General features: G+C 47.7%; 2 annotated features.

Moving 5' to 3' along the window:
- Window positions 7,103-7,192: an enhancer, noted in NCBI's record as "active region_26079". NCBI's record gives its function as "activates an Ori minimal core promoter by ATAC-STARR-seq in GM12878 lymphoblastoid cells {active_cell/tissue: GM12878}" and the evidence as "EXISTENCE:reporter gene assay evidence [ECO:0000049][PMID:35858748]".
- Window positions 10,734-10,912: a silencer, noted in NCBI's record as "fragment chr7:65516808-65516986 (GRCh37/hg19 assembly coordinates)". NCBI's record gives its function as "represses an EF-1alpha promoter that drives an FKBP-Casp9 reporter gene in an ReSE screen in K562 erythroleukemia cells {active_cell/tissue: K562}" and the evidence as "EXISTENCE:reporter gene assay evidence [ECO:0000049][PMID:32094911]".

Here is a 12,685-nt window from a genome sequence, read left to right as displayed (position 1 = left end):
GTAGAGATGGGATTTCACCATGTTGGCCAGGCTGGTCTGGAACTCCTGACCTCAGGTTATCCACCGGCCTCAGCCTCCCAAAGTGCTGGGATTACAGATGTAAGCCACTGCACCTGGCCTCAGTATGTTATTCTTTTCTGATGCTATTGTAGATAAAATTCTCTTTTCTTTCTTTTTTTTTTTTTCTTTTGAGATAGTTTTGCTCTTGTTGCCCAGGCTGGAGTGCAACGATGTGATCTTGGCTCACTGCAACCTCTGCCTCCCTGGTTCAAGTGATTCTCCTGTCTCAGCCTCCCTCTAGTTCCCTCTGCCTTTCTCTAGCTTCTGGTGATGCCTAGCAATTTTTGGCATTCTTAGGTTTGTAGGTGCATCACTGTGATTTGTACCTCCATCGTCTCATGACCTTCTCCCTGGGTCTCCTCTGTGTCTCTGTATCCAAATCTCCCTCTGATATAGTTTGGCTCTGTGTCCCCACCCAAATCTCATGTTGAATTGTAATCCCCAGTGTTGGGGGAGAGAGCTGGTGGGAAGTGGCTGCATTATAGGGGCAGATTTCTCCCTTGTTGTTCTTGTGATAGTGAGTGAGTTCTCATGAGATCTGGTTTTTTATTTCTTATTTTTTATTTTTATTATTATTATTTTTTTGAGACAGAGTCTCACTGTGTTGCCCAGGCTGGAGTGCAGTGGCGCTATCTTGGCTCACTGCAAGCTCCGCCTCCCGGGTTCACGCCATTCTCCTGCCTCAGCCTCCCAAGTAGCTGGGACTACTTGGGAGTCCCAAGTAGGTGGGAGGCACCTGCCACCACGCCCGGCTAATTTTTTACATTTTTAGTAGAGACAGAGTTTCACTGTGTTAGCCAGGATGGTCTCGATTTCCTGACCTCTTGATCCGCCCGCCTTAGTCTCCCAAAGTGCTGGGATTACAGGCGTGAGCCACCGCACCCGGCCAGATCTGGTTTTTTAAAAGTGTGTAGCACTTCCCCCCTTCACTTGCTCTCTCTCTTGCTGCCATGTGAATACATGCTTGCTTCCCCTTCACGCTTCCACCAAGATTGTAAGTTTCCTGAGGCCGCCCCAGCCATGACTCCCATATAGCTTGTGGAGCTGTCAATTAAATGTCTTTTCTTTGTAAATGACCCAGTCTCACGTAATTCTTTTTTTTTTTGAGACGGAGCCTCACTCTGTCGCCCAGGCTGGAGTGCAGTGGCGTGATCTTGGCTCACTGCAACCTATGCTCCCAGGGTTCAAGCGATTCTCTTGCCTCAGCCTCCCGAGCAGCTGGGATTACAGGTGCCTGCCACCGCGCCTAGCTAATTTTTATAGTTTTAGTAGAGACGGGGTTTCACCATGTTGGCCAGTCTGGTCTTGAACTCCTGACCTTGTGATCCACCCACCCCGGGCTCCCAAAGTGCTGGGATTACAGGTGTGAGCCACCGCATCCAGCCTTCAGGTAGTTCTTTATAGCAGTGTGAGAATGGACTAACACTCCCTCTCCTTTCTCTTATAAATGTATCAGTCCTTAGATTTAGGGTCCATGCTAATCCAGAATGATCTTGTTTTAACTTGATTACATCTGAAAAAACCCTATTTCCAAATGAGACCAGATTTACAGGTACTGGAAGTTAGGACTTGAACGTATTTTTCTGGGGACACAGTTTAATCCTCTGCATTGGGGTTTCCACAGTTGCCCATAATCAGGTTGAGGAAGTCTCCTTCTCTTTCTAGTTTATTGCTGTTTGTTTAAATAGTGAATTATACTTATAGAGATTTAAATAGTAATAAAAATCTTATATATTAACCTATGTACTTTCCATTTCCTATGCTCTTTATTCCTGTCAATCCAGATTTTCATTTGTTATCATTTTCCTCCTGTCTGAAAAGCTTATTTAATATTTTATGTAGTGCAGTTCTGTTGGTGATGAATCCTCTCAGCCTTTGTATGTCTGGAAATATCTTTATTTCATCTGTGTTTTCTTTTATTTTTTGAGATGGGGTCTCACTCTGTCACCCAGGCTGGAGCACAGTGGTGCAATCTCAGCTCACTGCAACCTCTGCCTACCAGGTTCAAGTGATTCCCCTGCCTCACCCTCCTGAGTAGCTGGGATTACAGGTGTGCACCACCATGGTTAGCCAATTTTTGTATTTTTAGTAGAAACGGGGTTTCACCATGTTGGCCAGGCTGGTCTTGAACTATGGGACTCAAGTGATCCACAAGCCTCAGCCTCCCAAAGTGCTGGGATTACAAGCATGAGCCATCACGCCTAGACTTATTTTCATAATATATACATATATGTGTATATATATATATATATATATTTTTTTTTTTTTTTTGAGACAGAGTCTCGCTGTCGCCCAGGCTGGAGTGCAGTGGCGCGGTCTCAGCTCACTGCAGGCTCCACCCCCCGGGGTTCACGCCATTCTCCTGCCTCAGCCTCCCGAGTAGCTAGGACTACAGGCGTCTGCCACCTCGCCCTGCTAATTTTTTGTATTTTTAGTAGAGATGGGGTTTCACCATGTTAGCCAGGATGGTCTCGATCTCCTGACCTCGTGATCCGCCCACCTCGGCCTCCCAAAGTGCTGGGATTACAGGCGTGAGCCACAGCGCCCGGCCTCATAATATTTTAATAAATGATTGTTATTGTATAGAAATGATGGCCAGGTGGCAGTGGCTCACGCCTGTAATCCCAACACTTTGAGAAGCTGAGGCAGGAGGATCACTTGAGGCCAGGAGTTTGAGACCAGCCCGGACAATAAGTGAGACTCTGTCTCTATTAAAAAAGAAAAGAAAGAAAGAAAATAAAAAATAGAAATGCTATTGTAGGCCGGGCGTGGTGGCTCATGCCTGTAATCCCAGCACTTTGGGAGGCTGAGGCGGGCGGATCACAAGGTCAGGAGATGGAGACCATCCTAACACAGTGAAACCCAGTCTCTACTAAAAATACAAAAAAATTAGCCAGGCGTGGTGGCAGGCGCCTATAGTCCCAGCTACTCAGGAGGCTGAGGCAGGAGAATGGCACGAACCTGGGAGGCCGAGGTTGCAGTGAGCCGAGATCGCGCCACTGCACTCCAGCCTGGGCAACAGAGTGAGACTCCGTCTCAAAAAAAACAAAAAACAAAACAAACAAAAAAGTACCTACCTTAACTTTAAAAATATTGCTTAAAAATGTTAATGATCATCTGAGTTTTCAGTAAGTCATTACATTTTTGTTAGTGGAGGGTCTTGCCTTGATGTTGGTGGCTGCTGACTGATCAGGGTGGTGGTTCCTGAAGGCTGAGATGGCTGTGGCAATTTCTTTTTTTTTTTGAGATGGAGTTTTGCTCTTGTTGCCCAAGCTGGAGTGCAGTGACGCGATCTCAGCTCACTGCAACCTCTGCCTCCTTGGTTCAAGCGATTCTCCTGCCTCAGCCTCCCGAGTAGCTGGGATTACAAGTGTGCACCACTATGGTTGGCTAATTTTTTGTATTTTTAGTAGAGATGGGGTTTCACTATGTTTGCCAGGCTGGTCTTGAACTCCTGACCTCAGGTAATCCTCCTGCCTTGGCCTCCCAAAGTGCTGGGACCACAGGCATAAGCCACCACGCCCAGCCAGCAATTTTTTTTTTTTTTGAGACGGAGTCTCCCTCTGTCGCCCAGGCTGGAGTGCAGTGGCACGATCTTGGCTCACTGTAAGCTCCACCTCCCGGCTTCACGCCATTCTCCTGCCTCAGCCTTCTGAGTAGCTGGGACTACAGGCGCCCGCCACCACGCCCGGCTCATTTTTTTGTATTTTTAGTAGAGACGGGGTTTCACCGTGTTAGCCAGGATGGTCTCGATCTCCTGACCTCATGATCCACCCGTCTTGGCCTCCCAAAGTGTTGGGATTACAGGCGTGAGCCACCACGCCTGGCCAGCAATTTCTTAAAATAAGACAACAGTGTGGCCGGGCGCAGTGGCTCACGCCCGTGGTCCCAGCACTTTGGGAGGCGGAGGAGGGTGAATCACATGAGGTCGGGAGTTCGAGACCATCCGGACCAACACGGTGAAACCCTGTCTCTACTAAAAATACAAAAAATTGGCCGGGCGTGGTGGCACACGCCTGTAATCCCAGTTACTGGGGAGGCTGAGGCAGGAGAATCATTTGAGCCTAGGAGGCGTAGGTTGTGGTGAGCTGATATTGTGCCACTGCACTCGGGCCTGGGAGACACAGCGAGACTCAGTCTTAAAAAAAAGAAAAAAAAAAAGACAACAGTGAAGATTACAGCATCAATTGACTTCCAACTTCACTGTAGCATGTGATGCTGTTTGATAGCATTTTACACATAGGAGAACTTTTTTCAAAATTAGAGTCAATCTTCTCAAACCCTGCTGCTACTCTATCAACTAGGATTTTATACAGTATAAATCTTTTGCTGTTATTTCAACAATATCTACAGCATCTTCACCAGGAATACATCACATTGGAAGAAACCAATTTTATTTGCTCAATCATAAGAAGCAACTACTCATTAATTCAAGTTTGCTCATGGGATTGGGCAATCAATTCACTCCCATCTTCGGGCTGAACTTCTTTTTTTTTTTATTTTGAGATGGAGTCTCACTCTGTCGCCCAGGCTGGAGTGCAGTGGCGCAATCTTGGCTCACTGCAACCTCCATCTCCCGGGATCAAGCAATTCTTCTGCCTCAACCTCTGAAGTAGCTGGGATTACAGGCACGTGCCACCACCCCCGGCTAATTTTTGTACTTTTAGTAGAGATGGGGTTTCGCCATGTTGGCCAGGCTGGTCTCGAACTCCTGACTTCAGGTGATCTGCCCTCCTTGGCCTCCCAAAGTGCTGGGATTACAGGTGTGAGCCACCATGCCTGGCCTGAACTTCTAATTCTAGTTCTCTTGCTATTTCCGCGACACTTGCAGTTCCTTCCCCAACTGAAGTCTTGAACGCCTTGGAATCGTCCATGAGGGTTGGAATCCACTTCTTCCAAAATTCTGTTCATGTTCATCTTTTGATCTTCTCCCATGAATAACAAATGCTTTTAATGGCATCGAGAATGGTGAATCCTTTCCAGTTTTCAATGGCTTCACCCAGATCCATCAGAGGAATCACTAGCTCTCATAGCCATAGCCTTACAAAATGTATGTTTTTTTGTTTTTTTTTTTTGAGACGGAGTCTTGCTCTATTGCCCAGGCTGGAGTGCAGTGGAGCGATCTCGGCTCACCGTAACCTCCACCTCCTGGGTTCATGCTATTCTCCTGCCTTGGCCTCCTGAGTAGCTGGGACTACAGGCGCCCACCACCACGCCCGGATAATTTTTTGTATTTTTAGTAGAGATGGGGTTTCACTGTGTTAGCCAGGATGGTCTTGATCTCCTGACCTCATGATCCGCCTGCCTCGGCCTCTCAAAGTGCTGGGATTACAGGCGTGCACCACGGTGCCTGGCCAATGTATTTCTTTTTTATTGAGAGGGAGTTTCGCTCTTTCACCCAGGCTAGAGTGAAGTGGCACAATCTTGGCTCACTGCAACCTTTACCCCCCAGTTTCCAGTGATTCTCCTGCCTCAGCCTCCCCAGTAGCTGGAATTACAGGCGTGTGCCACCACGCCCGGCTAATTTTTGTGTTTTTAATAGAGATGGGGTTTCACCATGTTGGCCAGGCTGGTCTCAAACTCTTGACCTCAGGTGATCCACCCATCTCAGCCTCCCAAAGTATTAGGATTACAGGCATGAGCCACCGCACCTGGCCAAAATACATATATATATTTCTTTTTTCTTTTTTTTTTTTTTTTTTTGAGACAGAGTTTCGCTCTTGTTGCCCTGGCTGGAGTGCAATGGCATGATCTTGGCTCATAGCAACCTCTGCCTCCCGGGTTCAAGCCATTCTCCTGCCTCAGCCTCCGGAGTAGCTAGGATTACAGGCATGCATCACCACACATGGCTAATTTTGTATTTTTAGTAGAGACGGGATTTCTCCATGTTGGTCAGGCTGGTCTCGAACTCTGGACCTCAGGTGATCCGCCTGCCTCGGCCTCCCAAAGTGCTGGGATTACAGGCGTGAGCCACTGGGCCTGGACCTTTTTTTTTTTTCTTTTTTTTAGATGGAGTCTCACTCTGTTGCTCAGGATGGAGTGCAGTGGCATGATCTCAGCTCACTGCAAACTCTGCCTCCCAGGTTCAAGCTATTCTCCTGCCTCAGCCTCCTGAGTAGCTGAGACTACAGGCATGGGCCACCATGCCTCGCTAATTTTTGTATTTTCAGTAGAGACGGGGTTTCACCATGTTGGCCAGGCTGGTCTCGAACTCCTGACATCAGGTGATTCACCCACCTCGGCCTCCCAAAGTGCTGGGATGACAGGCATGAGCCACCACGCCCAGCCCCAACTTTTCTTCTACAACTTCCTCACCCCTCTTGGCCTTCATAGAATTCAGGAGAGTTAGGGCCTTGCTCTGGATTAGGCTTTGGCTTAAGGGAATGTTGTGGCTGGTTTGATCTTCTATCCAGACCACTCAAACTTTCTCTACATCAGCGATAAAGCTGTTTTGCTTTCTTTTCATTCACGTGTTCACTGCAGTAGCACTTTTAATTTCCTTCAAGAACTTTTCCTGCCAGACACAGTGGCTCATGCCTGTAATCCTAGCACTTTGGGAGGCTGAGACAGGCAGATCATCTGAGGTCAGGAGTTCGAGAGCAGCCTGGCCATCATGGTGAAACCCCATGTCTACTAAAAATACAAAAATTAGCCAGGTGTGGTAGTGCATGCCTGTAATCCCAGCTACTTGAGAGGCTGAGGCAGGAGAATCATGTAACCCAGGAGTAGAGGTTGCAGTGAGCTGAGATCGCGCCACTGCACTCTAGCCTGGGCCACAGAGTAAGACTCGGTCTCAAGAGACTTGGCTAATGGGTACAAGAGGCTTCGCTTTTGTTCATCTCAGTTTTCTACATGTCTTTCTCACTATGTTTAATCATTTCCAGCTTTTGACATTAAGTGAGATACGTAGGCCCCTTCCTTTCACTTTAACACTCAGAGGCCATTAGGTATTGACCTAATTTCAATATTGTTCTGTCTCAGAAAATAGGGAGATTCAAGAGGGCAAGAGGGTGTGAGACGGAGGCACAGTTGGTCAGAGAGGCAGTTAGAACACGCACATTGGTTGATTAAATTCACCATCTTAAATGGGCACAGTGTATGATGCCCAAAACAACTGTAGTAGTAACATCAAAGACCACTGGTCACAGATCACCACAGCAGACATAGTAATAATGAAAAAGCTTGAAATATTGTAAGAATTACCGAACTGTGACACAGAGGTATGATGTGAGCACGTGCTGTTGGAAAAATGCCACTGACAGACTTACTCAACACAGGGTTGCCACAAACCTTCAATTTGTAAAAAATGCAGTTTCTGTGAAGCACAATAAATCAAAGAGCAGTATAACAATGTGTGCGCATATGTGCTATGTCTGTTTTATACTAAGTGTTCAATAAATAATAGTTGCTATGATTAATACATAAGGTCCTAGTGGGTCAAGATAAAACTGGTTTGAAATAATAACAGTTAGGACTGCTATGTTTTTGTTTTCGAGATGGAGTCTCAGTCTGTTGCCCAGGCTGGAGTGCAGTGGCACAATCTTGGCTTATTGAAACCTCCATCTCCCAGGTTCAAGCAATTCTCTACCCTCAGCCTCCTGAGTAGCTGGGATTACACCAGTGTACACCACTACACCTGGCTAATTTTTTTATTTTTAGTAGAGACGGGGCTTCACCATGGTGGCTAGGCTGGTCTCGAACTCCTGACCTCAGGTGATCCCACCGCCTCGCCCTCCCAAAGTGCCGGGATTACAGAAGTGAGCCACCGTGCCTGGCCAGGACTGCTATGTTTTCAATGTTTTTTATGTGCAAAGTACTATATGTGTCTATCTGTTGTCTTTTGCTGTGTAAGGAGACATTCCAGATTGTTAAACAACAACTGTCAGAATTATTACCTCTGATAATTCAGGGTGTTGAATTACATAGGATGAGGTCTTGCCTAGGGTTCCTCCTATGGTTACAGTACTGGCTGAGGCTGGGGTCATTTCATTTTCATTTTTATTTTTCAAGATGGAGTCTTGCTCTGTTGCCCAGGCTGGAGTGCAGTGGCTTGATCATGGCTCACTACAACTTCTGCCTCCTGGGTTCAAGCAATTCTGCCTTAGCCCCCCGAGTAGCTGGGATTACAGGCGCGCACCACCATGTGGAGTCATTTCAAAAGCTTCATCAGTCACATGTCTTGTATTTAGGCAGGGAAGACTCGAATGGCTGAGGGCTGGAACAGAGGACATCTCACAGTATAACCGTGTGGTCTCTTTATGCAATCCCTCCAGCATGGTGGCTTGGAGGCAGCTGGGCTTCTTATAGCCTGGCTCTGTGCTTCAACGGCCCATATTCCCAGAGAGAGCCACGTGGGAGCTGCATCAACTTTTCTGATGCAGCCTCAGCCGTCATGCAGGTCTCTTCCACTGCATTCTACTCCTTAGAAGTGAGTCAGGGCTGGATGTGGTGGCTCACACCTGTAATCCCAGCACTTTAGAAGGCGGAGGTGGGCAGGTTGCCTGAGGTCAGGAGTTCAAGACCAGTCTGGCCAACATGGTGAAACATCATCTCTACTAAAAAATACAAAAATTAGCTGGGAGTAGTCGTAGGCACCTGTTATTCCAGCTACTTGGGACCCTGAGACAGGAGAATTTCTTGAACCCGAAAGGCAGAGGTTGCAGGGAGCTCAGACCGCGCCATTGCCCTCCAGCCTGGACAACAAGAGCATTACTCTGTCTCAAAAAACAATAAATAAATAAACAAATAAATAAATAAATAAATAAATAAAATAAAAATCAGCTGGGTGTGGTGGTGAGCACCTATGGTCCCAGCTACTCAGGAGGCTAAGGTGGGAGGATCACCAGAGCCCAGGAGGTTGAGGCTGCAGTGAGCTGTGATTGCACCACTGAACTCCAGCCTGGGAAACAGAGTGAGATACTGTCTCAAAAGAAAAGGAAGTGAGTCACGAAAGCCAGACCATGTTCAAGGTGAGGAGGAATTAGACTCCACTCCATGAGGGGTGTCAGAGAATTTGCAGACATGGGCTGGGCGCGATGGCTCACGCCTGTAATCCCAGCACTTTAGGAGGCCAAGGTGGGCGGATCACAAGGTCAGGAGTTTGAGACCAGCCTGAGCAACATGGTGAAACCCCTGTCTCTACTAAAAATACAAAAATTAGCTGGGCTTGGTGGTGGGCGCCTGTAATCCCAGCCAGTCGGGAGACTGAGGCAGGAGAATCGCTTCAACCCCAAGAGGTGGAGGTTGTGGCGAGCCAAGATCACACCACTGCACTCCAGCCTGGGTGACAGAGAGAGACTCCGTCTCAAAAAAAAGAAATTAGCAGACATGTTTTAGAACCACTGTGTGTGTATGATCACATTTCATTCTTTTAGTGTTACCAAAGCAGTAGAGTTCAGCCTAGCTCCAGCTGTTGGCCGCACAGAAAGCCAATCATTGAGACAGTGATTATTGCCAAGGAAGATTTTAATTGGGTGCTGCAGCTGAGGAGATGGGAGATCAGTCTCAAATCCATCTCCCTGACTACTAAAATTAGGGGTTTATACAGCAGGGAAGAAATGCAACTATGTGTGGGAATACAGGAACTCAGGAGGGGTAAGGAAGCAATCATGATGAATGAGGGGTCCGGAGTCTCATTGTCAGGATGCCATGACCTGGTGAGTTTCAGTTCTTTGATAAACTTTGAGAGGCCTGGGGATCCTTTCCTGAGGAAGGAACTCAGGTAAAATAAAATGTAAGTTTCAAGCTTTATGACCGAAAGTGTCAATTTCTTTTTGTTTATTTATTTCTTTTTTCTTTTCTTTTTTTTTCTTTTTTTGGAGACAGAGTTTCGCTCTGTCACCCAGGCTGGAGTGCAGTGGTGTGATCTCAACTCACTGCAGCCTCTGTTTCCCAGGTTCAAGGAATTTTCGTACCTCAGCTTCCTGTGTAGCTGGGATTACAGACTCCTACCCCCACGCCCAGCTAATGTTTGTATTTTTGGTAGACACGGGATGTCACCATGTTGGCCAGGCTGGTCTTGAACTCCTGACCTCAGGTGACCTGCCCGCCCTGGCCTCCCACAGTGCTGGGATTACACGTGTGAGCCACCCACCTGGCCAGGACTTGTTTTCTTAATCCCTGTGCTACAGAAATTATACTAGACTAAAATATAAAGGGTTTTTGTTTTGTTTTGTTTTTGTTTTGTTTTGAGACATAGTGTTGCTCTGTCACCCAGGCTGGAGTGCAGAAGCACAGTCTCGGGTCACTGCAACCTCCACCTCCCAGGTTCAAGTGATTCTCCTGCCTCAGCCTCCCAAGTAGCTGGGATTACAGGAAACCACCACCACACCTGACTATTTTTTGTATTTTTAGCAGAGATGGGGTTTCACCATGTTGGCCAGGTTGGTCTCAAACTCCTGACCTCTGGTGATCTGCTCGCCCTGGGCTCCCAAAGTGCTGGGATTACAGGTGTGAGCCACTGTGTCCGGCCGGGATTTATTAATAAGCACTTTTTTTTTTTTTGAGATGGAGGTTCACTCTTGTTGCCCAAGCTGGAATGCAGTGGCACAATTTCAGCTCACTGCAACCTCCACCTTCTGGGTTCAAGTGATTCTCCTGCCTCAGCCTCCCGAGTAGCTGGGATTATAGGCATAAGCCACCATGCCCTGCTAATTTTCTGTATTTTTAGTAAAACGGGGGTTTCACCATGTTAGCAAGGCTGGTGTCGAACTCCTGACCTCAGGTGATCCGCCCACTTTGGCCTCCCAAAGTGCTGTGATTACAGGCGTGAGCCACTGTAATTTTTTTTTTTTTTTTTTTTTTTTTTGAGATGGAGTCTTGCTCTGTCACCCAGGCTGGAGTGCAGTGGCATGATCTCAGCTCACTGCAGCCTCCACCTCCCAGGTTCAAGTGATTCTTCTGCCTCAGCCTCCTGAGTAGCTGGGATTACAGGCAAGTGCCACCACGCCCAGCTAATTTTTGCATTTTCAGTAGAGACAAGGTTTCACTATGTTGTTCAGGTTTGTCTCAAACTCCTGACCTCAGGTGATCCACCTGGCTCGGCCTCCCAAAATGCTCGGGCACTACGCCTGGCCCCTTTTTTTTTTTTTTTTTTTTTTTTTTGTATTTTAGTAGAGATGGGGTTTCACTGTGTTGCTCAGGCTGGTCTCGAACTCCTGAGCTTAGGCAATCTGCCTGCCTAGGCCTCCCATAGTGGTAGGATTACAGGCGTGAGCCATGGCGCCCGGCCTTTTCTTTTTCTTTTTTTTAAAGAGACAGTATCTCCCTCTGTCACCCAGACTGGAGTGCAGTGTTGCTCACTGTAACCTCAAACCTTAAGGCTCAGGTGGTTCTTCCGCCTCAGCCTACTGAATAGCTGGGACTACAGGCACATGCCACCCTGCCTGGCTAATTTTTTGTAGAGACATGGTCTCACTGTGTTGCACCATCTGGTCTTGAATTCCTGGGCTTAGGCAATCCTCCCACTTTGGCCTTCCAAAGTGCTGGGGTGACAGGCATAGGCATGGCATCTGGCCAATAAGCATTCTTATGCAGTGTTTACTAAGCGCCAAGCACTATCTCAAGCACTTTTCTGGGGACTGTGTATGTTTATGGGAAAAAGCCTACAGCAGAGGCCCCAGGAGACAGGCCTGCCTGGAGGGCTGGGTTGGGAGTGGAGAGCAGGCCCCCTCAGGACCATGGAGCCTCCAGGACACAGTCCTTCCTCCCAAGGAAGTTAAGGCAGAGTTAAGGTTCCTGCTTGGTTGGAAGGTCCAAGGGGCAGTCCTGAGTGGGACACTGTGACTGTCACTCTGATTGTCCCCCTACAAGGCCCCATGGACTCCAGCAGCCAGAGAATGAAGATAATAATAAATTAAAGCATCTCAAGGCATCTGCAGAAATCGTGTCAGGCAGGAGGCCATGCCTCAGGGCGCAGGAATAACAGCAGCCTGGCCTGCCGCAGCAAGATAGCAGCCCCTACTGCAGAGGCTGGTGGCAGCCACCATTGGGGGCACAGACTCTGGGGGTGCTCGTGCATGCGTGTGTGTGTGTGTGTGTGTGTGTGCATATCATACTTTGAGACACCTGGATCTATCTAGGAGGTATCTGAGAGGTACTCAGCCTCCTGCAGAAAAGGTGGGGACGGACCTGGAGAAGCAGCATTTTGTAACCTTGGACCCTGAGTGAGCAGGAGACAGACTGCACAGAACAACAGATATATACGGGAATGTACTGATTTTCTCTTACTGCAGTAACAAACTGCTGCACAAAACCCCACAAATTTATTGTCTTAAAATTTTATAGGTTAGAAGAAGGGTCCCCAAACCTTGAACCACAAACCAGTACTAGTCTGTGGCTTGCTACGAACCATGTCGCACAGCAAGAGGTGAGTGGTAGTCGAGCGAGCAAAGCTTCTTCTGTATTTACAGCAGCTCCCCATTGCTCACACTCCCACATGAGCTTTGCCTCCTGTCAGATCAGTGGCAGCATTAGATTCTCATAGGAGCGTAAACCCTATTGTGAACAGCGCATGCACGGGATCTAGGTTGTGGGCTCTTTATGAGAATCTAATGTCTGATGATCTGTCACTATCTCCCATCACCCCCAGATGGGGCTGTCTAGTTGCAGGAAAACAAGCTCAGGG

The sequence above is a fragment of the Homo sapiens genome, chromosome 7, assembly GCF_000001405.40.
Source record: "Homo sapiens chromosome 7, GRCh38.p14 Primary Assembly".
Classification (NCBI taxonomy): domain Eukaryota; kingdom Metazoa; phylum Chordata; class Mammalia; order Primates; family Hominidae; genus Homo; species Homo sapiens.
Note: the sequence above shows the minus strand (reverse complement) of the source record. Positions and strands in the feature narration are given on the sequence as shown.